This window comes from Homo sapiens, chromosome 6, assembly GCF_000001405.40.
Source record: "Homo sapiens chromosome 6, GRCh38.p14 Primary Assembly".
Taxonomy (NCBI): domain Eukaryota; kingdom Metazoa; phylum Chordata; class Mammalia; order Primates; family Hominidae; genus Homo; species Homo sapiens.
In genome coordinates this window covers 169,596,361-169,621,735 of record NC_000006.12, presented here as the reverse complement: position 1 = coordinate 169,621,735, position 25,375 = coordinate 169,596,361, and the positions used below count along the sequence as shown (strand labels likewise).

Genomic DNA, 25,375 nt, shown 5'->3' with positions numbered 1-25,375 from the left:
ATATGTGTGAATGTGTATATGCGTGAATGCATGTGTGGGTATGTATATGCATGTGTGGGTATGTATATGCGTGAATGAATGTGTGGGTATGTATATGCATGTGTGGGTATGTATATGCGTGAATGCATGTGTGGGTATGTATATGCGTGCGTGCATGTGTATGTATATGCATGAATGCGTGTGTGTATGTATATGCGTGCGTGTGTGTGTATGTATATGTGTGAATGCATGTGTGGGTATGTATATGTGTGCATGCACATGTGCATATGTATATGTGTGTGTGCATGTGTGCATATGTATATGTGTGAATGCGCGTGTGTGTATGTATAGGCATGTGTGCATGTGTGTGCGTATGTCTACATGCATGCATGTGTGCGTATGTCTACATGCATGTGTGTGCGTATGTATATGTGTGAATGCGTGTGTGGGTATGTATATGCGTGCGTGCATGTGTGTGTGTGTGTGTATGCATGAATGTATGTGTGGGTATGTATATGCCTGTGTGCATGTGTGTGTATATGCATATGCGAGCGTGCATGGGTGTATGTATGTATATGTGCATGCATGTGTATGCATATGTATATGTGCTTTTAATTATAGTATTCATTAAAGTGCCTATTAATTAATTCATTTAAAATATCTATTAGCTGCTGCTGTGCACTTGGCAGTGTTCTGTGAATGAAGAGTTAGATGAAGTGAGGGCAAAGTCCTTGTGCTCAAGAATTGTATTTTCTTACATAGGAACACGTGTATTACACAAGGTCAGGTGCTCTGTGCTGACCAGGTAACTAGAGCAGCAGGTTCATGACACAGGGAAGGGTGCCAGGTCTATGTCTGGAGGAGCAGAGTGCAGGAGGAGCAGGTCTATGTCTATGTCTGGAGGAGCAGAGTACAGGAGGTGGACTGTGTGGTGAAGCCGGTGGAGGGGTGGACCTCGAGCCCCTTGTTAAATCAAAATATCTAAGACAGGTCTCGGTCAGTTTAGAAAGTTTATTTCACCAAGGTTAAGGATGCACCCATGACATAGCATCAGGAGTTCCTGACGATGGTGGTCGGGGCACCGCTTGGTTTTATACATTTTAGGGAGACATGAGATATCAATCAATATGTGTACCATGTACTTTGGTTCAGTCAGGTAAAGTGGGATTTGAGGCGAGGGCTTCCAGGTCATGAGTAGATAAGAGGCAAAAGGTTACATTCTTTTGAGTCCTTGATCAGCTTTCCACTGAATACACAATTTAGTCTAGCTCAGTGAATCATCATTTTTACATAAACAATAGGGGAGAGGAAGCAATGAGATACGCATTTGTTTCAGGGAAGCCTCGGAGGGATGTCTTTGAGTTCTGACTGTCCTTTGTCCACAAGGAATTTCCTTGTGGGCAAATTGTGAGGGAGGTCTGTAGCTTCTTATCTTTGTAGCTATCTTACTTAGGAATAGAATGGGAGGCAGGTTTTGCCTGAGGCAGTTCCCAGCTTGACTTTACCCTTGGCTTAGTGATTTGGGGGTCCCAAGATTCATTTTCTTGTCACATTCCTGATGGACATCTGGACAAGCTGGCTCCCTGAGACAGCATCCCTGCAGGTAAGGTGTGTCCTAAAGGGGTGAGGACTAGGCTCTGATTAAGGGGTCTGAGGAGTCATGCTTTAAAAACCATCAATTCTCGTCAGATGGGTTTTATTTAACCTTATGTATCATGACTTATTTTCCAACCTGGCTCTGGCATAACATTACAAGACAAGGAAGAAAATAAAAATATTTCACTCCAAAACATGTGTCTTTGCCATATGTCGAAATGGCCCTGCAAAGCTGTCCTTTGTGTGGGAAAACCAGTTCAGTCACATTAGTCATGCATCTGTGAAGAATCTCTATTAACATGGCTAGATCTCTTTCTTCCAGGCCCTCCCAATCCTAAACAGATTAAGAGTCTAGCACCTTTTAAAGATCTGAACAGGAAACATTTGTCACCTGTTGTCTCCAAGGGCAGCCACTAATGAGGCTTCAAAAGAACCTTGGTCTCCACAGTCTTTTATCTTAAACTGAACATTTCCTTTCTATTGATCCCAGGTCTTCAGAGAAACTCAACCAATTGTCAACCAGAAAATGTTTACTTTTACCTAGAGCCTGGAAGCCCCCACTTTGAGTTTTCCTGCCTTTCCCAGGTGGGAAACCAGTGTATTTCTGAAATGTCTTTGATTGATGTCTCATGCGTCCCTAAAATGTATAAAACCAAGCTGCACCTGACCACTTTGGGCACATGTTCTGAGGACCTCCTGAGGGCTGTGTCACGGGCCGTGGTCACTCATATTTGGCCCAGAATAAATTTCTTCCAATATTTTACAGAGTTTTACTCTTTCTGTCGACAAGAGGCGCATAGGATATTTCATTCCAAGTGCTGTGGTGAAGACTGTTTTTACAAGTTGGCCTTGTGAAGAGCCATTGTTGTGTAGATGTGCCTCGCTTTGTTCCTGGAATGACATGGTGACCGTCTAATTTCCCAATTCAAGGAGAGTTCCTCTCTTTTAAAATCTTAGCTTTTTGTTAAGAGGTTTAGTGTCTTTGCTTTAGGAAACTGCTTAAAATGTCTACATTTTTCAACAGCTTGAGCAATGACTATACAGTAGCCTGAATCCTGTCAAATCTATGTGGTCTTTCAGTAGGGATTGTAATATTTTGTGAATCATTGTGGTGTACTCTTGGATGAGAGGTGTTATATTAAGAAAAATAGTTCTGAGGTTTTTTATGGGAAAATTACGGGTTTTACTTCCTGAAAATAAACATCTGAATGGTATTTGATGGAATGAAAGGGAAAGAGTGTAAGGTTACAGAGGTTTACACTATTTTTTAATAGCTTTTTTAAAAAAACTTATCTTACATTTTTGTTCAGTTGCACAATGTACATCAAACTAACCATAGCCATGTGGGGGCTGCTACTCACAAACTGTCATCCTACAAGTCCAAATACAGGAGAAGCAGAAATTATCATTGGCCCAAATGCTGTATTTCCAGTAACATATAAAACAGGGCATTTCTAATTTCTTCTAAGCTTAGTAACCACCTCAGCCACATTAGTCATGCATCAATAATGTTTTTTTTTTTTTTTTTTTTTTGCAGTCATCCAAGTGCACCACCATTAACATGATCTCTTCTGAGAATTACTCCTATAGTTATCTTAATTCTGTTGGACAAATGGAATTTTAAATTCATTTTAGTATTGTATTAACAAGAGTGCCAGATGCATCAAAAAGTGATGGTCATATTTTCCTATTTTATGTGTTATATTATTAAATGGCTCATTTAAAAAATGAAAATGCATACGTGTTTTATGATTTATTGATATCCTTAAAGTCCTAGCAGGTGTAGATACTTTATATATTTTTAAAACTTGATAGGATACTACTCTTTGCCTGCCTCTGAATAAAATATGTACTATTTTGTGATATAAATACATAATACTAGACAGCTAATTTTAATTAAAAACAATGTGTAAAAGTTTAAACAGCTTTTTTAATGAAATAATTTTATTACATATGATTCTAGATTTCAGGAATAGTCACTTATGTTATTTTGCTTTATTAGTTTTAGATCTTGCTGTATTTTTAAAAAGGAAATGAAATGATTATTGATGCAGAGAAAACCCTACCCACATCCCTCCCTTTTCTTCTTCTCTGATAACCACTGCTGAATTTGGTATGGGTCTTTCCCTAGTACCCATTCAGAAGCAATGATACAGGAGTTAAGAAGAAATTACTTAGGCAGATAATGAAGGTATGGGAATCCTCCCTAAGGTTTTCCTTTTAATGAAGAACAGCCCCCAAATCATTTTCTTTTCTAACGAAGAGCAGGCTGTAAAATCGAGCTGCAGAGTTAGACAAACAAGTTGGAAGCTTGTAAACGCGAATACTGGCAGTTGTGCCAATAGGAAAGGCTACCTGGGAATAGGCATGTTCAAAATGGTGGCTCCATCTTTTCTTTTCTGCCAGCCATGTGTACAGTAAGGAGCAGGCAAGATGGCGCTGGCCAAGTAGAAAGTCCATTTGCATAATAAGATTAGGGTTGGGCGGCTGGGCACAGTGGCTCAGGCCTGTAATCCCAGCACTTTGGGAGGCAGAGGTGGGTGGATCACCTGAGGTCAGGAGTTCAAAACCAGACTGGCCAACATGGTGAAACCCGGTCTTTACTAAAAATACAAAAATTAGCCGGGTGTGGTGGCATGACCTTGTAATCCTAACCACTTGGGAGGCTGAGGCAGGAGAGTCACTTGAACCAGGGAGGAGAAGGTTGCAGTGAGCTGAGATCGTGCCATTGCACTCCACCCTGAACAACAAGAGTGAAACTCGGTCTCAAAAAAAAGATTAGGGTGGGGCAACCAGCCTTCCCTGCCTACCATGTAAAAGTCACACTTGATTGAACCAATCTGTGGGCTCTACATACATCAGGCACCGCCTCCTCAAGCTTGCCTATAAAATCTGGCACAGTCCACCACATGCCGGCTTTTCCCTTTGGGACACCCCTCTCTCTTGAAAGAGAGAGAGGGCTGCTCTCCTTTCTTTTTATTTTGCCTATGAAATCTTCGCTCCTAAACTTGCTGCTCATTTGTGACTGTGTCTTTAATCTTGGTGCTAGGCAACGAACCCTAGGTATTGATCCCCCACAAGGATGCTGCTTCAGCAACATTGTGCATTGTTGAGCCTAGCGTTAGCCTCTTACACATGGTGTCAAACCCCATATCTCCCTGTTGCTTGATTTTTCATGCTGAAATTGCACTTTACCAGTTTGGGCATGCACTATTTTTATTATCTTCCAGCACTAAATATTTTCTCATGTTTATTATGATGTTTTTCAACCCAAGCTTCAGATGTATGCTTTTAGATTTCCACATGAGTTAATTTTTGGTCATCTTTTTTGTTGTTGGTTTCTAATTTTATGGCATTGTGTTCAGAGCATGCACTCTCCATATATAGTATTGATTTTCTTGGTATCTTTGAGATTTTTTATCTATTGAAAACTGGACACTATGGTTTGTTTTTAATATTACATAGGTGTGTGAGAAAAATGTGGTTTTGCTGACTATTTGGTACATGTTTGCCCAGATATTCATTGACTCACCCTTGTTAATTGTGTTTAAATTGTTCAGGTCTTCCTAATTTCTTGTTGCTTGATTTTTTTAATTACTGAGAGATGTGTTAAAAATCTACCATTATGATTGTAATCTTGTCAGTTTCTTCTTCTTCTTCTTCTTATTTTTTTGGAGACGGAGTCTTGCTCTATCGCCAGGCTGGAGGGCAGTGGCGCAGTCTTGGCTCACTGCAACCTCCACCTCCTGGGTTCAAGCGATTCTCCTGCCTCAGCCTCCTGAGTAGCTGGGACTACAGGTGCCCGCCACCACACCCAGCTAATTTTTGTATTTTTAGTAGAGACAGGGTTTCACCATGTTGGCCAGGCTGGTCTCGATCTCTTGACCTCGTGATCCGCCCGCCTTGGCCTCCCAACACTTGGGATTACAGGTGTGAGCCACTGCACCCAGCTAGTTTCTTCTTGTAATTCTATTGAGTTTTGCTTTATGTATTTGAAGGGCATGTTATTAGGGATATTTAAGTTCAGTCTTCTTATATTTTCACGTGCAGTTATTTCTTTTATCATTTTTTTGAAGAAACTGTTTCTAATGAGGCTTTCTTTACCTTATATCTGTTTTTTTTTCTAGTGCTTATATAATCTTGCCTCCTCAGAGTTCGCGTGTGCTGTTTGCGCCTCAGCTTTCAGTTTTGACTTTTTTTTTTTTATTAGGTTTTCAGAACTTTTCTTAAAATCCAGCGTAAGTTCCTTATAGATGCTGGATATTAGACCTTTGTTAGATGCATAGTTTGCAAATATTTTCTCCCATTCTGTAGGTTGTCTGTTTACTCTGTTGATACTTTATTTTGCTGTGCAGAAGCTCTAAAGTTTAATTAGATCCCACTTGTCAATTTTTGCTTTTGTTGCAATTGCTTTTGGTGTCTTTGTCATGAAATCTTTGCCAGTTCTTGTGTCTAGGACGGTATTGCCTAGGTTATCTTCCACGGTTTTTATAGTTTTGGGTTTTGCATTTAAGTCTAATCCATCTTGAGTTGATTTTTGTGTATGGTGTAAGGAAGGGGTCCAGTTTCAACCTTCTGCACATTTAGCCAGTTATCCCAGCACCATTTATTGAATAGGGAGCCCTTTCCCCATTGCTTGTTTTTGTCGGCTTTGTTGAATATCAGTCGGTCGTAGGTATGTGGCTTTATTATCAATACTGTGCTATTTTGAGCTACATGATGAGAACTCATGAACACAAAGAAGAGAACCACAGACACTGGGGTCTGCTTGAGGGTGGAGGGTGGGAGGAGGGAGAGGAGCAGAAAACACAGCTATTGGTAGCAGGCTAAGTATCGGGGTGATGACATAATCTGTACAACAAACCCCTGTGCCACAAGTTTACTTATATAACAAACCCACACGTGTACCCCTGAACCTAAAACAAAAGTGAAATAATGACAATAATGATAATAATGAAATCCAGCCTAATATTATCTCTCTTTTCCTTGTTGAGTTTAGTCTGTTTGCAATTATGATTATTCATATATTTGATATCATTTTGTGCTTTCTCTTCCACATTTTTTATTTCTTCGCTTTCTACTTATCCTGAATTTTCTTTGTTTTTTTATTTCTTCTTCCTCACCCTCTATTGGATTGAACACATTTTTTAAAAGTTTACCTTTTCTCTTGAAAGGTTTGGTCATTACATAGTATTTCTGTTCTGTTCAGTTTTTTACTCTTTAGCCTACATATACTAGCAATTGCTGTCTGTCAGGTGTTGTTAGTGCCATTATCTTCTCTGTCTTTTTGTTAAACTAAGCCTACATTTTCTTCTTTTTATGCTGAGTACCTCATGTAACACCAGCATTCAGTAGATGATCTGTAAATATTTGTTGAATACCTGCTCAATTATTAGTGTGAATTATTATTATTTTAAAACATGTATTACAGCTTTGTTTCTTTTCTTTTCTTTTTCTTTTCTTTTTTTTTTTTGAGATGGAGTCTCACTCTGTTGCCCAGGCTGGAGTGCAGTGGTGTGATCTTGGCTCACTGCAACTTTCACCTCCTGGGTTGAAGCGATTCTCCTGCCTCAGTCTCCCCAGTAGCTGGGATTACAGGCACACACCACCACACCTGGCTAATTTTTTGTATTTTTATAGAGACGGGATTTCACCATGTTGGCCAGGTTGGTCTCACATTTTCCTGACCTCAGGTGATCTGCCCGCCTTGGCCTCCCAAAGTGCTGGGATTACAGGTGTAAGCCACTGTACCTGGCCTTGAATTATTATTAGTTTGTTATTATTGAACTTAGTAAGCCTTTATTTTCTGTTTGCAAATGAAGGATGACTTGTAGGCACATCTATCCTTCATGAAATTTGTCTTAATATTTTTAATATTCTTGACCTAGAAGGAGGATGGAAATCATTATTTATCACAAATGTTTAGGTGATGTTTTGTGTCAAATGGTTCTGTAGATGGAGCTGAGTTCAGTTCCACTTAGTGAGAATTGCTTCTGATAGCAGCACAGGGAAAGGGGAGCAAGTCAGAGTCAGGGCCGGGACTCGAGGCCCCGTGGGAGTTCACCCACATAGTCATCGCAGGAGCCTGCTGAGTGTCATTTAGGGGTTGATAATTGGCAGATTAATAACTCACCTTAACTTTAAGTGCCTTGTTGAGGGGCATCTTTCAGATGATTTATTGAATGTGGCTTATGGTCTATACTGTAAACATGAATTTTGGTGTATTACTATCTTGGTCTTTTTTGACCATTTTGTACTTCTGTAACTCTCAGTGGCATTACACATAAAGAGAACATACATCAATACTTCTCTAGGTCAAAATATACCCTCATTAACTACTTTATGTAGAAGTTTTTGGAGTCCAATTCTGAAATTGTTACAAGTAAGAAAAAAACTTTGTGTTAATATCTTACTTGAGAATCAGCTATTATGAGATATCATTAGCATAACGCTTATTAACTCAACCTTTGAAAGTACATCTTGATTTCCCCCTTAAAATTATAGGGTTCATCATTTACAACCCAACAGCCTCAGGCTTATAACCTTTTCCTGACCACGGCCATTGGCGATGGGATGAGACTGTGGGACCTGAGAACCCTGAGGTAAGGCTGTCCTGCGCCCTGCACTGCAGGGGTGGGGAGCTCAAGAGATATAAGCTCAATCTGATCTCTTTTCCGAATGTGATGAGGTTGTGGTTAATCTGTGCACACTGACTAATCTAAGACTGATTTATGCACAGAAAAGTTAGCTCTAACTTTGGAAGGGTGAAGCACTAGGTACTGGTCTCTCTGCTATATGTGGCTTAGGAGAGTAACCCCAGGCCCTTCCTGTGGGTCAGCGATGTTGAGGGAGACTTTGGAATCTCCTAAACCACAGTTACCCTATGGTGTGATTACTGCTCTCTCTCCCAAGTGTGTTCCCATCTCCACTGGGTGCCATCCACTAGGCACCGAGCACCCCCGTAACGCAGGGCCAGCGGCGCCTGACTCTCCTTTTCCTACCTCCTCAGGTCACAGTTGGGAGGGCATTTCCTTAGATATACTATCATTAAGTAAATTACTTCTCATTTCACATCAAGTATATTTTAGATGCTTTGTAGACTTTGAAAATACATTTTATAAAAGTTAGAAAGCACCTTAGTTTTATCAGCAAAATATTTACAGATCTTTTAGGACAGGAATTCTTGATATAACAATAATTGTTGTTTACTGTTGAATGCAATAATAAAACTTACAGGCAGGTTTGTTTACTATTATTATTTCAAATTAGTGATGAGAATCTGTATGAGCAATCATGTTGCACATGAGGATGTCTTAACCAGTGACTGACCATATCACATTGCTGGTGGCATAAGATTATGATGGAGCTGAAAAATTCTTTTTGTTTATTATTTCCTTTACTACTTTTTATCATGATTTTAGAGTGCATTCCTTCTACTTATAAAAAAAATTAACTATAAAGCAGCCTCAGGCAGGTCCTGCAGGAAGTGTCCAGAAGAAGACATTGCTTTTTTTTTTTTTTTTTTTTTTATGTTAGACAGAGTCTCGCTCTGTCACCCAGGCTGGAGTGCAGTGTTACATGATCTCAGCTCACTGCAACCTCCCTGCCCCACCACCCCACCCCTGAGCTCAAGGGATTGTCTTGCCTCAGCCTCGTGAGCAGCTGGGTTTACAGGCAAGTGCCACCATGCCCACCTAATTTTTTGTTTGTTTGTTTGTTCGTTTGTTTGTTTTGAGACGGAGTCTCGCTCTGTCACCCAGGCTGGAGTGCTGGAGTGCAGTGGCGCGATCTCAGCTCACTGCAAGCTCCGCCTCCTGGCTTCACGCCATTCTCCTGCCTCAGCCTCTCCGAGTAGCTGGGATTACAGGTGCCCGCCACCACGCCCAGCTAATTTTTTATATTTTTAGTAGAGATGGGGTCTCACCGTGGTCTCGATCTCCTGACCTCATGATCTGCCCGCCTTGGCCTCCCAAAGTGCTGGGATTACAAGCATGAGCCACCGTGCCCAGCCTGTTTGGTTTTTTTGAGATGGAGTCTTGCTCTGTCACCGAGGCTGGAGTGCAATGGTGTAATCTCAGCTCACTGCAACCTCTGCCTCCCAGGTTCAAGCCATTCTCCTGCCTCAGCCTCCTAAGTAGCTGGGACTGTAGGCATGCGCCACCACGCCCAGCTAATTTTTGTATTTTTAGTAGAGAACGCATTTTCACCATGTTGGCTAGGTTGGTCTCGAACTCCTGACCTCAAGTGATCCACCCGCCTCAGCCTCCCAAATTGCTGGGATTACAGGTGTGAGCCACTGTACCTGGCCAAGACATTGTTATCAGAGGGAGATGACAGCTCCATGCATTTCACTGCCCCTGAAGACCTTCCAGTGGGACCAGATGTGGAGGGGAAGACAGTGATATTGATGATCCCGACTCCATGCAGGCCTAGGCTAATGTTTGTGTTTATGCCTTAGTTTTTAACAAAAATGTTTTAAAAGTAAGAAAAAGCTCAAAATAGAAAAAAGCATGTAGAGTAAGAATATAAAGAAATAAAATATTTTTGTACAGCTGCACTATGCATTTGTGTTTTAAGCTAAGTGATATTAGCTTTGGGAGGCCGAGGTGGGCGGATCACCTGAGGTCAGGAGTTTGAGACCAGCCTGGCCAACATGGTGAAACCGCATCTCTACTAAAAATACGATAATTATCCAGGTGTGGTGGTGGGCACCTGTAATCCCACCTACTTGGGAGGATGAGTCAGGAGAATCACTTGAACTCAGGAGGCAGAGTTTGCAGTGAGCCAAAATCACACCACTGCACTCCAGCCTGGGTGACAGAGTGAGACTCTGTCTCAAAAAAAAAAAAAAAAAGTAAGTAAAAAAGTTACAGTAAACTAATATTAATTTATTACTGAGGAAATAAAAATATTTTAAAATAAATTTAGTGTAGCCTAAGTGTCCAGTGTTTATAACACCTATAGCAGTTGTGGTCATGCCCTTGACCTTCACATTCACTCACTTCTTGCTCAGTGACTTACTCAGAGCAACTGCCAGTCCTGCAAGCTCCATTCATGGCAAGGACCCTATACAGGTGCACCCTTTTTAATCTTTTATTTTATTTAATTGTTTTTATTTCAATAGTTTTTGGGGTACAAGTGGCTTTTGGTTACATGAATGAATTGTATAGTAGTGAAGTCTAAGGTTTTAGTGCACCTGCCACCTGAGTCTATACATTGTACCCAATATGTCATTTTTTATTCCTCACCCACCTGCCACCTGCCCCCTTGTGAGTCTCCAAATTCAATCATACCACTCTGTATGCCTTTGTGTACTCACAGCTTAGCTCCCACTTACAAGTAAGAATATAAGGTATTAGGTTTTTCATTTCTGAGTTACTTCACTTAAAATAATGGCCTCCAGCTCCACCCAAGCTGCTGCAAAAGACATTCTTTTGTTCTTTTTTATGGCTGAGTAGTAGTATTTCATGGTGTCTATATACCACATTTTCTTTTTTCACTCATTAGTTGATATGGTTTGGCTGTGTCCCCACCCAAATCTCATCTTGACTTGTACTCCCGTAATTCCCATGTGTTGTGGGAGGGACCCAGTGGGAGATGATTAAATAATGGGGGCATTTTCCCCCATACTGTTCTTGTGGTAGTGAATAAGTCTCATGAGATCTGATGGTTTTGTCAGGGGTTTCTGCTTTTGTGTCTTCCTCATTTTGTCTTTACCCTGCTGCCAACCATGTAAGACGGGGCTTGCTCCTCCTTGCCTTCCACCATGATTGTGAGGCTGCCCCAGCCTTATGGAACTGTAAGTCCAATTAAACCACTTTCTTCTGTAAATTGCCCAGTCTCGGGTATGTCTTTATCAGCAGTGCAAAAACAGACTAATACAGTAAATCGGTACCAGTAGAGTGGGGTGCTGCTGAGAAGATATCCAAAAATGTGGAAGCGACTTTGGAACTGGGTAACAGGCAGAGGTTGGAACAGTTTGGAGGGCTCAGAGGATAGGAAAATGTGGGAAAGTTTGCAAGTTCTTAGAGACTTGTTGAATGGCTTTGCCCAAAATGCTGATAGTGATATGGGGACAATAAGGTTCAGGCTGAGGTGGTCTCAGATGGAGATGAGGGACTTGTTAAGAACTGGAGCAAAGGTGACTTTTGTTATGTTTTAGCAAAGAGACTGATGGCATTTTGCCCCTGCCCTAGAGATTTGTGGACTTTGAACTTGAGAGAGATGTTTTAGGGTATCTGGTGGAAGAAATTTCTAAGCAGCAAAGTGTTTAAGAGGTAACTTGGGTGCTGTGAAAGACATTCAGTTTTAAAAGGGAAACGGCATAAAAGTTTGAAAAATTTGCAGCCTGACAATGCAATAGAAAAGAAAAATCCCATTTTCTGAGGAGAAATTCAAGCTGGCTGCAGAAATTTGCATACATACTGAGGAGCCAAATGTTAATCCCCAAGACAATGGGAAAATGTCTTCAGGACACGTCAGAGGTCCTCATGGCAGCCCCTCCCATCACAGACCCAGAGGTCTGGGAGGAAAAAGTGGTTTCATGGGTTGGCCCAGGGTCCCTGAGCTGTGTGCAGCCTGGGACTTGGTGCCCTGTGTCCCAGCCGCTCCAGCCATGGCTGAAAGGGGCCAACATAGAGCTCATGCCATGGCTTCAGAGGGTGCAAGCCCCAGTCCTTGGCAGCTTCTACATCATGTTGGGCCTACGGGTGCACAGAAGTCAAGCACTGAAGTTTGGGATCCTCTGCCTAGATTTCAGGAGATGTATGGAAGCACCTGGATGCCCACGCAGATGTTTTCTGTAGGGGTGGGGCTCCCTTGGAGAACCTCTGCTAGGGCAGTGCAAAGGGGAATTGTGGGGTCAGAGCCTCCACACAGAGTCCCTAATGGGGCACTGCCTAGTGGAGCTGTGAGAAGAGGGCCACCATCCTCCAGACCCCAGAATGATAGATCCATCTACAGCTTGCACCATGAGCACGGAAAAGCTGCAGACACTCAACACCAGGCTGTGAAAGCAGCTGGGAGGGAGGTTATGCTCCGCAAAGCCACAGGGACAGAGCTGCCCACGACCATGGGAACCCACCTCTTGCATCAGTGTGACCTGGATGTGAGACTTGATGTCAAAGGAGATCATTTTGGAGCTTTAAGATTTGACTGCCGCACTGGATTTCATACTTGAATGGGGCCTCTAGCCCCTTTGTTTTGGCCAGTTTCTCCCATTTGGAATGACTGTATTTACCCAATGCCTGTACCCCCATTGTATCTAGGAAGTAACTAGCTTGCTTTTGATATTACAGGCTCATAGGCAGAAGGGACTTGGCTTGTCCCAGATGAGACTTTGGACTGTGGACTTTTGGGTTAATGCTGAAATGAGTTAAGACTTTGAAGGACTGTTGGGAAGGCATGGTTGGTTTTGAAATGTGAGGACATGAGATTTGGAAGGCCGGGGTGGAATGATATGGTTTGGCTCTGTGTCCCCACCCAAATCTCATCTTGAATTGTACTCCCATAATTCCCATGTGTTGTGGGAGGGACCTGGTTGGAAATAATTGAATCATGTGGGCAGTTTCCCCCATACTGTTCTTGTGGTAGTGAATAAGTCTCATGAGATCCGATGGTTTTATCAGAGGTTTCTTCCTCATTCTGTCTTTGCTTGTTGCCATTCATGTAAGATGGGACTTGCCCCTCCTTGCCTTCCACCATGATTGTGAGGCTTTCCCAGGCATGTGCAACTGTAAGTTTAATTAAACCTCTTTCTTTTGTAAATTGCCCAGTCTAGGGTATGTCTTTATCAGCAGCATTAAAATGGACTAATACATTGGTCGATGGGCACTTAGATTGGTTCCATATCTTTACAATTGTGAATTGTACTGCAATAAACATACACACACAGTGTCTTCGTGATATAATGACTTATTTTCCTTTGGGTAGATACCAAGTAGTGAGACTGCTGGATTGTATGCCAGATCTGCTTTTAGTGCTGTAAGAAATCTACTTTTAGTTCCATGGAAAACAGTATGGAGATTTCATTTTCCTTTTATACCATATATTTACTGTGCCTTTTCTTTGTTTAGGTATATTAATAATTACCATTGTGTTACAGTTGCTTAGTACAGTTGCATGCTATACATGTTTGTAGCCTAGGAGCAATAGGCTACACCACACAGCTTAGGTGTGTAGTAGGCTACACCATCTAGGTATGTGTAAGTACACTCTGTGACATTCACACAGGGACAAAATTGCTTAACGACATATTTCTTGGAATGTATCCCCGGCATTAAGTGATGCATGACTGTGTAGTTAACTCCTGGCATCTTCTTAGTACTCAGCAAACAGCCAACAACATCCATTTTCTAGTGATTATTGCTTATTTATTTTTTATTTGTATATATTTAGGAGGTGCAAGTGTAATTTTGTTACATGGTTAGATTTGTAGTGGTGAAGTCCGGGCTTTTAAGGTATCCATCACTCAAATAATGTGCATTCTGCCCATTAAATAATTTTTCTTCCTGCATCCCCTTCCCACCCTCTACCCTTCTGAGTCTCCAGTGTCTATGGTTTCATACTCTATGTCCATGTGTACACATTATTTATCTGCCACACATAGGTGGGAACATGTGGTATTTGTCGTTCTGTTTCTGAGTTGTTTCACTTAAGATAATGCCCTCTACTTCCATCCATGTGCTGCAAAAGACATGATTTCATTTTTTTCATGGCTGAATAATATTATATTATATGTGTGTGTGTGTGTGTGTGTGTGTGTGTGTATACACACACAAGTATACTACATTTTCTTTATTCAGTCGCCTGTTAATGGGCACTTAGATTGATTCCATGTCTTTGGTATTATAAACAGTGTTGCAATAAACATATGAGTGCATGTGTCTTTTTGAAATCATGACTTCTTTTTCTTTTGGTAGATACCCAGCAGTGGGGTTTCTGAAATGAACGGTAGTTATATTTTTAGTTCTTTGAGAGATCTTCACATTGTTTTGCGTAGAGGTTGTACTAATTTACATTCCCATCAGCATTGTATAAACTTTCCCTTTTCCCTGCATCCTTGACAGTATCTGTTACTTTTTGCTTTTTTAGTAATAGCCATTCTGACTGGTGTAAGATGAAATCTCATTGTGGTTTTAATTTGCATTTCTCTGATGATTAGTGATGTTGAGCATTTTTCATATGCTTGCTGGCCATTTGTATATCCTCTTTTAAAAGGCTTTTATACTGTTGGTGGGAACGTACATTAGTTCAACCATTGTGGAAGACAATGTGGCATTTACTCAAAGGCCTAGAACCAGAAATATCATTTGACCCAGCAATCCCATTACTGGGTATATACCCAAAGGAATATAAATCATTCTATTATAAAGATACATGCATGCATATGTTCATTGCAGCACTATTCACAATAGCAAACACATGGAATCAACCCAGATGCCCATCAGTGATAGACTGGATAAAGAAAACGTGGTACATATACACCATGGAATACTAGGCAACCATAAAAAGGAATAAGATCATGTTTTTTGCAGGGACATGGATGGAGCTGGAAGCCATTATCCTCAGCAAACTAACACAGGAACATAAAACCAAACACTGCATGTTCTCACTTATAAGTGGGAGCTGAACAATGAGAACACATGGACACAAGGAATGGAACAACACACACTGGGGCCTGTCAGCGGAGTAAGGAGAGGAAGAGGATCAGGATAAATACCTGATGCTTGTGACGCTTAATACCTAGGTGATGGGTTGATCTGTGCAGCAAACCACCATAGCACATGTTACCTATGTTAACAAACCTGCACATCCTGCATATGTATCCTGGAACTTTAAATAAAGTAAAAATGTCTATTCATGTCCTTTGCCCACTTTTTAATGGATTTATTTGTGGTATTTTTTGTTGAGTCGTTTGAGTTCCTTGTAAATTTTGGATGTTAGTCCCCTGTAAAATGCATAGTTTGCAAGTTTTCCCCCATTCTGCAGGTTTTCCATTCACTCTGTTGATTATTTCTTTTGCTGTGCAGAGTATTTTTGTTTAATTAAGTCATATTTGTCTATTTTTATTTTTGTTACCTCTGGTTTTGAGTTCTTAGTCATGAATTCTTTGCCTAGACCAATGTCTGGAAGTGTTTTTTCTAGAATTTCTTCTAGTATTTTTATAGTTTCAGGTTTTACACTTAAGTCTTTAATCCATCTTGAGTTTATTTTTGTGTATGGGGAGAGATAAGGGTCCAATTTCATTCTTTTGCCTATAGCTATCCAATTTTTCAAGCACTATTTATTACAAAGGGTGTCCTTTCCCCATTGTTGATTTTGTCAGCTTTCAAAGATCAGTTGACTGTAAATATGTAGTTTTATTTCTGAGTTCTAGATTCTGTTCCATTGGTCTATATGTCTATTTTTATACCAGTACCATGTTGTTTTGGTTACTATAACCTTGTAGTATAATTTGAAGTCAGGGAAGGTGATGCCTCCAGCTTTGTTCTTTTTATTTAGGATTACTTTGGCCATTTGGGCTCTTTTTTGGTTCCTTATGAAGTTTAGGGTGTTTTTTTTTTTAATGTAAAAAATGACATTGGTATTTTGAAAGGCATTGCATTGTACCTATGGATTGCTTTGGGCAGTATGTTAATTTTAATGATATTAATTCTTCTGATCCATGAGCATAGGACGTTTTCCTATTTGTTTGTATTATCTGTAGTTTCTTTCATTGATGTTTTATAGTTTTCCGTATTGAGACCTTTTACCTCCTTGGTTAATTATATTCCTAGGTATTTCATTGTTTTTATAGCTATTGTAAATAGGACTGATGTCTGGTTCTCAGCTAAATCATTATTGATGTATAGAAATGCTACTGATTTTTACACATTGATTTTGTATCCTGAAATTTTACTGAATTTATTTATCAAATCTAAGAGTGTTTTTGATGGAGTCTTTAGGTTTTTCTAGATGTAAGATTATATTATCAGTGAGCAGGGATAATTTGATGTCCTCTTTACCAATTTGGATGCTTCTTTAAAAAAAAAAAACTTTTTTTTTTTTTTTTGCCTAATTGCTCTGGCTAGGACTTCTAGGACTATATTGAACAGAAATGGTGGTAGTGGGCATCCTTGTCTTGTTCCAGTTCTTAGAGGAAAGACTTTCAATTTTCCCCCATTCAGTATGACCTTGGCTATTGGACTGTTGTATATGGCCTTTATTATTTTTATGTATGTTCCTTCAATGCTTAGTTTTCATTGAGGATTTTTATGAAGAGATGCTGAATTTTATTAAGTGCTTTTTTTTGCATTTATTGAGATGATCATATATTTTTTTGTCCATGATTCTGTTTATGTTATGTATCACATTTATTGATTATTGTATGTTGAACCATCCTGGCATCCCTGGTATAAAACCCACTTGGTCATGGTGTATTATCTTCTTGATGTGCTATTGGATTCTGTTTGGTAGTATTTTGTTGAAAATTGTTTTTATGTTCATCAGGGATCTTGGACTGCAGTTTTCTTTCTTTGTTTTGTCCTTGTCTGGTTTTGGTATCAGAGTGATACTGGCCACATAGAATGAATTAGGGAGCATTCCCTTCTTCTTGACATTTTGGAACAGTTTCAGGATTGATAGTAGTTCTTCTTTATATGTTTGGTGGAATTTGCCTATGAATTCTTCTGGTCCTGGGCTTTTCTTTGTTGGGAGACTTTTTTTCTTGATTCAGTCTTTCTATTCATTATTGATCTGTTCAGGTTTTCTATTTCTTCCTGCTTCAAGCTTGGGAAGTTGTGTATTTCCAGGAACGTATCCATTTCCTCTAGGTTTTCTATTTTGTGAGTGTGTAGTTTTTCATTATAGTCTCTGATGATATTTTGCATTCCTGTGGTATTGGTTGTAATGTCTGTTTTTCATTTCTAATTTTGTTTACTTAGATTTCATTTTTTCTTGGTTAGTCTACAAGTGGTTTATCAATTTTGTTTATCTTCTCAAATAACTGACTTTTCATTTTGTTGATCTTTTAAATTGTTTTGTTGGTCTCTATTTCATTTAATTCTGCTCTGGTCTTTTAAATTTCTTTTCTGTTGCTAACTGTGGATTTGGTTTGGTCATGCTTTTCTTGTTCCTTGAGGTGCAACATTAGGTTGTTAATTTGATCTTTCTAGTTTTTTTGGTATAGGCATTTGATGGTATAAACTTTCCTCTTGACACTACTTTTACTGTATCATACAGGCTTTACTACGTTGTGTTATCACCTTCATTCATTTCAAAAATTTTAAAATTTCTCCTGAACCCAGTCCAATTACACTTCTAGAGCACTTATTAATGTGCCACGTGCTGTAAGAAGAAATTTCTTTATGAACTCATTTAAGCCCATTTCATGAATGGGGAAAATGCAGCACAGAGGTGAGCAACTCACCAAAGTTGCTCATTTGATGAGAAGGGGCTTAGCTGGGGTCAGGGTTGAGCCTGGCCCTGGATCACCTGCTCTTGGCCACTGCTCTCTATGGCCTCTTCACTGAGCTCATTAGACAAGAAACACATGATCGTGAGGGAAATGTTCATGGTGTATTCTGGGGTAGACATAGCAGGATATAAAGCTGCATAATATGCATCTCTACTTTGTTAAAGGAAAACAAAGACCTTTGCATATGCAGAGAAAATGTGCAGTATATGTGCCACAGTACTTTCTGGAGTTGTCATTTAATGGAAGGATTATGAGTACTTTGATGATTTTTCTCTTTGTGTTTCTTTTTTTTTAATAGTAAAGAATGTAAAAATTTAAAAATCAATGTAAAAGAAAAAAGGAATTAAATTTATGACAAATATTGTGACAAATGTTTATGACATTTTTATAAAGATTTAATCTTTTCTCAGTAGTACACTACAGTTCAGGTTATTTTCTACAGCCTATATTACCATCTACAGAATTTTTCTAGACAGAATTATCTTGGCCATTGCAACAGTGCACTCTAGCCTGGGTGACAGAGCGAGACTCTGTCTCAAAAAAAAAAAAAAAAGAATTATCTTGGCTAGGTGTGGTGGCTCAAACCTGTAATCCCAGCACTTTGGGAGGCCAAGGCAGGTGGATTACCTGAGGTCAGGAGTTCGAGACCAGCTTGGCCAACATGGTGAAACCACGTCTCTCCTAAAAATACAAAAATTAGCTGGGTGTGGTGGTGAATGCCTGTAATCCCAGCTACTTGGGAGGCTGAGGCTGGAGAATTGCTTGAACCCGGGAGGCAGAGGTTGCAGTGAGCCTAGATCATGCCACTGCACTCCAGCCTGGGTGACAGACAGAGTGAGATTCAATCTCAAAAAAAAAAAAGAAAAAAAAAAAAGAATTATCTTTGTAGAATTTATACTACATAGGACATGATTAACAAGAAATAACAAGAATTTCTTGGCATTTTTTTACAATAAACAAATTTTATATGGCACTTTTTAAATAGTTGTGAAACTTAACCACCCTCGATAGAATGTTTTGCCTCCAAAAAGTCTCTGAATAATTTAACTAAATAATTTATTATTTTAGAAGATTTGTTAAGTTTGTTTTGATATTTAAAAAATTTCCAGAATATGTTTACATTTAATATTTATCACATATAAAAGCTTATTTACTATTAGTTTTGTCATCTTTGGGAATTTAAGATTTTGAATAGTGTTTGAATTATTTTTAAATATCTCTAGAGAGACCCATTAACCATTTAATAATTCTCACATATAAAATATTCTTTCATTATTCTTTTGTTCCTTTTTGTGAAGAAAAGCAACAAGTTGTTTTCTTTCCTCTAATTTGCATTCAAATTTTAAAATGATTTTTCTCCTGGTGTTTCTTTCCTCCCTGTAGGTGTGAGCGCCACTTTGAAGGGCATCCAACCCGCGGCTATCCATGTGGAATCGCTTTCAGTCCTTGTGGACGATTCGCGGCTTGTGGGGCCGAGGACAGACACGTATGTACTGTTTGACTGTCTATAAATGTAGAGAGTCTAGACTTTGGTAATGTGTAGACTGTTTAATATTGTTGCATATTAGGATAGAAACCTACTTTCAGCTTGACTGTTGGTCAATATTTTAAGACTCTTACACAGTAATAGCATTTTAATAATGTGTGAGGTATGAAAGATGTTTTTACTGAAGCATGATAAACTAATCACTCATGAATTAATTATTAATCATTTCACAGATACTTGTTGAGTGCCTACTATTTGAAAGACACTGTGCTACACGTTATATTTTCTTGTTTATTACAAGATGATAATATTAATTAGTGAAACACCAGATCCTGTGTATTTAATGTGTTTAATGGTGTGATCCTTTCCTAAGTTAGATCCTTAGGAAACAATGTGCTTATATTAATGGAACTGCCCCCTCCACATTATGCGCATGCGCCTCATGGTGGATTTGGGGCAGGTACTAATACACATCCACTTGTCCATAATCTATTTTAAAAGGCTTGTATTAATTTCCTAGGGATGCCACAAACTACCACAAACTTGGAGGCTTAACCCTTTTCCCATTCGCCCCAAGAATACTCATGGGTGGCCTTGCAGCTGCAGCGTTCACCTCATGGTCATGTTGCCTCAGAATATCCTGCTTTGATTATTATTTTCTCATCGCTCTAGTATCCTGACTTTGGAAACAAAAAACATCATTCTATCTGTAGCATTCTGTTTTTAGTAGTGGTATTTTCATTTACAAAATGTAGTAATTATTGATTGCTGAAAATGCCAAATTCTAGAAAATGTTGCATTTCTAGTCATGATGATAACATCATTCCTGAATAGTTATTGGCTGAAGATTCATTTGATGAATCTGATTTTTCTGAAATAAATGATTCTGCTGATTCAGATGATTCTGATGTTCTGTTTAGAAATAACTTCAAGACCTGGTGGTGACAGAATCTCTCAGCATTTGCTTGTCTGTAAAGGATTTTATTTCTCCTTCACTTACGAAGCTTAGTTTGGCTGGATATGAAATTCTGGGTTGAAAATTCTTTTCTTTAAGAATGTTGAATATTGGCCCCCACTCTCTTCTGGCTTGTAGAGTTTCTCCCGAGAGATCAGCTGTTAGTCTGATGGGCTTCCCTTTGTGGGTAACCCGACCTTTCTCTGGCTGCCCTTAACATTTTTTCCTTCATTTCAACTTTGGTGAATCTGACAATAATGTGTCTTGGAGTTGCTCTTCTCAAGGAGTATCTTTTTGGCGTTCTCTGTATTTCCTGAATTTGAATGTTGGCCTGCCTTGCTAGATGGGGGAAGTTCTCCTGGATAACATCGGGCAAAGTATTTTCCAACTTGGTTCCATTCTCCCTGTCACTTTCAGGTACACCAATCAGACGTAGAATTGTTCTTTTCACATAGTCCCATATTTCTTGGAGGCTTTGTTTGTTTCTTTTTATTCTTTTTTCTCTAAACTTCTCTTTTCACTGCATTTCATTCATTTGATCTTCCATCACTGATACCCTTTCTTCCAGTTGATCGAATCAGCTACTGAGGCTTGTGCATTCGTCACGTAGTTCTCGTGCCGTGGTTTTCAGCTCCATTAGGTCCTTTAAGGACTTCTCTGCATTGGTAATTCTAGTTAGCCATTCGTCTAATTTTTTTTCAAGGTTTTTAACTTCTTTGCCATGGGTTCGAACTTCCTCCTTTAGCTCGGAGTAGTTTGATCGTCCGAAGCCTTCTTCTCTCAACTTGTCAAAGTCATTCTCCGTCCAGCTTTGTTCTGTTGCTGGTGAGGAGCTGCATTCCTTTGGAGGAGGAGTGGTGCTCTGATTTTTAGAGTTTCCAGGTTTTCTGCTCTGTTTTTTCCCCATCTTTGTGGTTTTATCTACCTTTGGTCTTTGATGATGGTGATGTATAGATGGGGTTTTGGTGTGGATGTCATATCTGTTTGTTAGTTTTCCTTCTAACAGTCAGGACCCTCAGCTGCAGGTCTGTTGGAGTTTGCTGGAGGTCCACACCATGCCTATTCCAAAATTGACCACATAGTTGGAAGTAAAGCACTCCTCAGCAAATGTAAAAGAGCAGAAATTATAACAAACTGTCTCTCAGACCACAGTGCGAACAAACTGGAACTCAGGATTAAGAAACGCACTCAAAACCGCTCAACTACATGGAAACTGAACAACCTGCTCCGGAATGACTACTGGGTACATAACGAAATGAAGGCAGAAATAAAGATGTTCTTTGAAACCAACGAGAACAAAGACACAACATACCAGAATCTCTGGGACACATTCAAAGCAGTGTGTAGAGGGAAATTTATAGCACTAAATGCCCACAAGAGAAAGCAGGAAAGATCTAAAAATTGACACCCTAACATCACAATTAAAAGAACTAGAGAAGCAAGAGCAAACACATTCAAAAGCTAACAGAGGGCAAGAAATAACTAAGATCAGAGCAGAACTGAAGGAAATAGAGACACAAAAAACCCTTCAAAAAATCAGTGAATCCAGGAGCCGGTTTTTTGAAAAGATCAACAAAATTGATAGACCGCTAGCAGGACTAATAAAGAAGAAAAGAGAGAAGAATCAAATAGATGCAATAAAAAACAATAAAGGGGATATCACCACCAATCCCACAGAAATACAAACTACCATCAGAGAATACTATAAACACCTCTACGCAAATAAACTAGAAAATCTAGAAGAAATGGATAAATTCCTCGACACGTACACTCTCCCAAGACTAAACCAGGAAGAAGTTGAATCTCTGAATAGACCAATAACAGGCTCTGAAATTGAGGCAATAATTAATAGCTTACCAACCAAAAAAAGTCCATAAATAAATAAACCATAACTAATGTGAACAATTCAGCTAAATTATAGATGTTACTGAATAGCTCTATGTCAAATACCAATCTCTTCTTTTTGTCTAGTGCTTCTCCTGTCCTGTTTAAATAATCTTTGTTCACTTCCAAATCATGATGGTATTGTCCTCTGTGCTCTTTTGAAAAGCTTTATTGTTTTTGAGAACACATGGACACAGGAAGGGGAACATCACACACCAGGGCCTGTTGTGGTGTGGGGGGAGGGGGGAGGGATAGCATTAGGAGATATACCTAATGTTAAATGACGAGTTAATGGGTGCAGCACACCAACATGGCACATGTATACATATGTAACAAACCTGCACGTTGTGCACATGTACCCTAAAACTTAAAGTATAATAAAAAAAAAGAAATAACTTCAAGAACAGTTTTTATATTTTATTTTCACGTTGAAAATCATTCAAATTTGCTTCAGCCTCAAATAGCACGTTTATGTAAAGTTAAATGAGCGCTGGCAGTAACCTGCATTTTTAAATTCTAAACAGGAAAAGGGTTAAAAAAATAGACACTTATTTTCTGTCGGCTCTGGAGGCCAGAAGTCTGAGATGAAAGCATCAGCAGGGCTGGCCCCTTCTGCAGGGTCCAAGGGAGGAACCCCTCACGCTTCCCTGGCCTCTGTGGCTGCTACAGTCCCTGGGGTTCCTTGGTGTGTGGCTGCGTCATGCTGGCCTCTGCGTCCATCTCCAAGTGGCCTTTCCTCCTCTGCACATCTCTCGTTTCCCCGTTCTTTCTCTTGGGGACACTAGCTAGGTTTGAATGTCTCCTCCAGAACTCATGTTGAAATTTACTTGCCATTCTAGCAGTATTCAGAGGTGGGAACTTTAAGAGGTGGATTAGGCCATGAGAGCTGGCCCTCCTGCAAGGATTAATGCCATTACCATGGGAGTGGGGTCCTTACAAAGGGTGAGTTTGTCCCTCTCTTGCCTCTAGGCCCTTTCACCTTGTGCTGTGTGATTATGCAGAAGGGAAGCCTTGCCAGATTCTGGCTCTTTGACCTTGGGCTTTCCAGCCTCCAGGACTGTAAGAATATACATTTCCATTCTTTGTATATTACGCAGTTTCAGGTATTGTGTTATAGCATCACAAAACAGACTAAGACAACACTGATAATGGATTTACAGCCCACCCTAAATCCAAGCTGATCTCAATACCCTTCAGTTAATTTCTTCTGCAGAAAATCCTTTTTCCAAATAAGATCACATTCTTCATATTCAGGTTCAGCACTAGCTATGATGGAATAGCGTGAAACTAACTAGGGTGCCTATCAGAACTACTACACAAACCCTGGTTTAACTAGGTTATGAGATGCAAAGGGGCAGCTCACATTCTGTAGGTACTTTTTCTCTGAAGGAGTTTGCCATTTCTAAACAAAAAAAAAAAGAGACCTATGTTTCAGGCAAAGGCCATACAGAGGGATGCATCTGTGTGTGTGTGTGTGTGTGTGTGTGTGTGTGTGTGTGTGTATGAATGGTAAGAGGTGAAGTTGTGCATAAAAATTGGCAGAACTTTTTTTTGATATTGCAGGGATGTAGAGATAAAAACTTGAAAACTTTAGGGCCATGGAGGGTCAAGTGCCATGCCTGACACTACCAGTATTCCTGTCAACATATTTTATTCAATTCTGGAGCTAAGGAGGGCAAGAAACAGGTAGGCTCAGCAGAAGACCTTTAGAAGCAGAGTAGGGTTTTTAACAATATTTCAGGGCTGAGGCTATGAATATTAGAGGTCAGTACCTGCTAGTAGGGTGGGAATTCCCAATGGACACCTTAGCTTACCCCTGGATAAACCAGGAGTTGATGGAATCTCACCCAAGCTGCAATCCAGCCTTGAGTCTGCTCAACTCTGTTTATAGTAAGGAAGTCTTTTCTTGCTTCATCTGCCCACCTTTCTGGAGTACAATAATGTAATTTTGAGCCTTGGGAGTTTTTTTTGTAATATACATAGCATTTAGCTTTCAGTCAAAAATTACAAGTATGTCAAGAGGCAAAAAATCAAGAAAAAAAAACATAATAGAAACAATACTATGGGTGACCCAGGTATTGGACTTAGCAGACAAGGTTTTAAAAATAACCATGATTAATATATTCAGGGAAATAGAGTACAAGTCAGAGACCACAGATATAAGGATGGAGAATTTTACTGCATTGTTGGACTTTCCTAGAACTGAAAGATATATCATTGGAAATTAAGAGTGTAGAGACAGAAGTGTTGAAAGTAGCAGGATGGGAAATGAAGCTGATATGATAATACTTTAGTGTAAAGTAGACTTTGGGTCTTAATGCATTACTAAAAATAATGAACAACATTTAATATGACAAAGATGCCAATTTATGTAGAAAATGTCATAAACCTGTATGCACCCAATAACGTAGTTTCAAAATATATAAATCAAAAATGATATAACTCTAAGAAGAAAAAGAAGTATCTTCAATCATAATGGAAGACTTTAACAAACTTCTCTTAATGACTAGAAATGACTAGAAAACAGATTATTGATGATCATGACACTTTTTAATGTAAATATGATTACACTTTTCTTTGTAAATACTATGTGTTTAAAATATTCTGCAAGCTCTCTATGTAGAACCAAGATCTTATGTGTGTCTTAAAAGGACTTTCACAACATGCCTCCAAATTACCTATCTTCTCTCTCTATTTTTTTCTATATCTCCTGATTTCTGTGTCATACAACTTCTAGATATCACAGTTTTTTTTAATAATACAAAAAAAAATAAGGATGAACCAAAAAATATTCTCACAGACAACAAGAGTACACCATAAAAATGTGTCTGCTAAACAGGTGAAAACTAATGATATATTTGCAAATTAGCTTAAGAAAGTTAAGAAAACACATAAAACATCAGAAATTGCTAGACAACAGGAATATATGAAATGAGAACTGATGAAAATTAGGAAAGCATTAGAAAAAAATTCAGAAATAAAGACCAAATACAAAGGAATATAATAGAAAGCAAATACA

At 39.3% G+C, this 25,375-nt stretch overlaps 1 protein-coding gene across 18 annotated transcripts in view, besides 3 other annotated features; it reads left to right on the top strand.

Moving 5' to 3' along the window:
• WDR27 (WD repeat domain 27) overlaps positions 1-25,375 on the top strand; it is a 275,610-nt gene that overhangs the window by 80,294 nt on the left and 169,941 nt on the right. For 16 of the 18 annotated variants that reach the window (XR_007059231.1, NR_146875.2, XR_007059230.1 and 13 more), the window contains 2 exons: positions 8,080-8,177; positions 19,415-19,517. Coding sequence is in view for 15 of the 18 variants with exons in the window: in XM_011535688.4 (XP_011533990.1) it covers positions 8,080-8,177; positions 19,415-19,517 (201 nt within the window). In the remaining 3 variants the exon portion in view is untranslated. Of the gene's footprint in view, positions 1-2,341; positions 3,094-8,079; positions 8,178-19,414; positions 19,518-25,375 lie in introns of those variants that run through there. The other 2 variants (XM_047418586.1, XM_011535693.4) reach the window with 2 other exon arrangements.
• Positions 1,513-2,157: an enhancer, noted in NCBI's record as "OCT4-NANOG-H3K27ac hESC enhancer chr6:170019675-170020319 (GRCh37/hg19 assembly coordinates)". NCBI's record gives its function as "activates a minimal SCP1, AML or CMV promoter by ChIP-STARR-seq in naive H9 embryonic stem cells {active_cell/tissue: H9 hESC(naive)}" and the evidence as "EXISTENCE:reporter gene assay evidence [ECO:0000049][PMID:30033119]".
• Positions 2,158-2,802: an enhancer, noted in NCBI's record as "OCT4-NANOG-H3K27ac hESC enhancer chr6:170019030-170019674 (GRCh37/hg19 assembly coordinates)". NCBI's record gives its function as "activates a minimal SCP1, AML or CMV promoter by ChIP-STARR-seq in naive and primed H9 embryonic stem cells {active_cell/tissue: H9 hESC(naive and primed)}" and the evidence as "EXISTENCE:reporter gene assay evidence [ECO:0000049][PMID:30033119]".
• Positions 4,182-4,720: an enhancer, noted in NCBI's record as "H3K27ac hESC enhancer chr6:170017112-170017650 (GRCh37/hg19 assembly coordinates)". NCBI's record gives its function as "activates a minimal SCP1, AML or CMV promoter by ChIP-STARR-seq in primed H9 embryonic stem cells {active_cell/tissue: H9 hESC(primed)}" and the evidence as "EXISTENCE:reporter gene assay evidence [ECO:0000049][PMID:30033119]".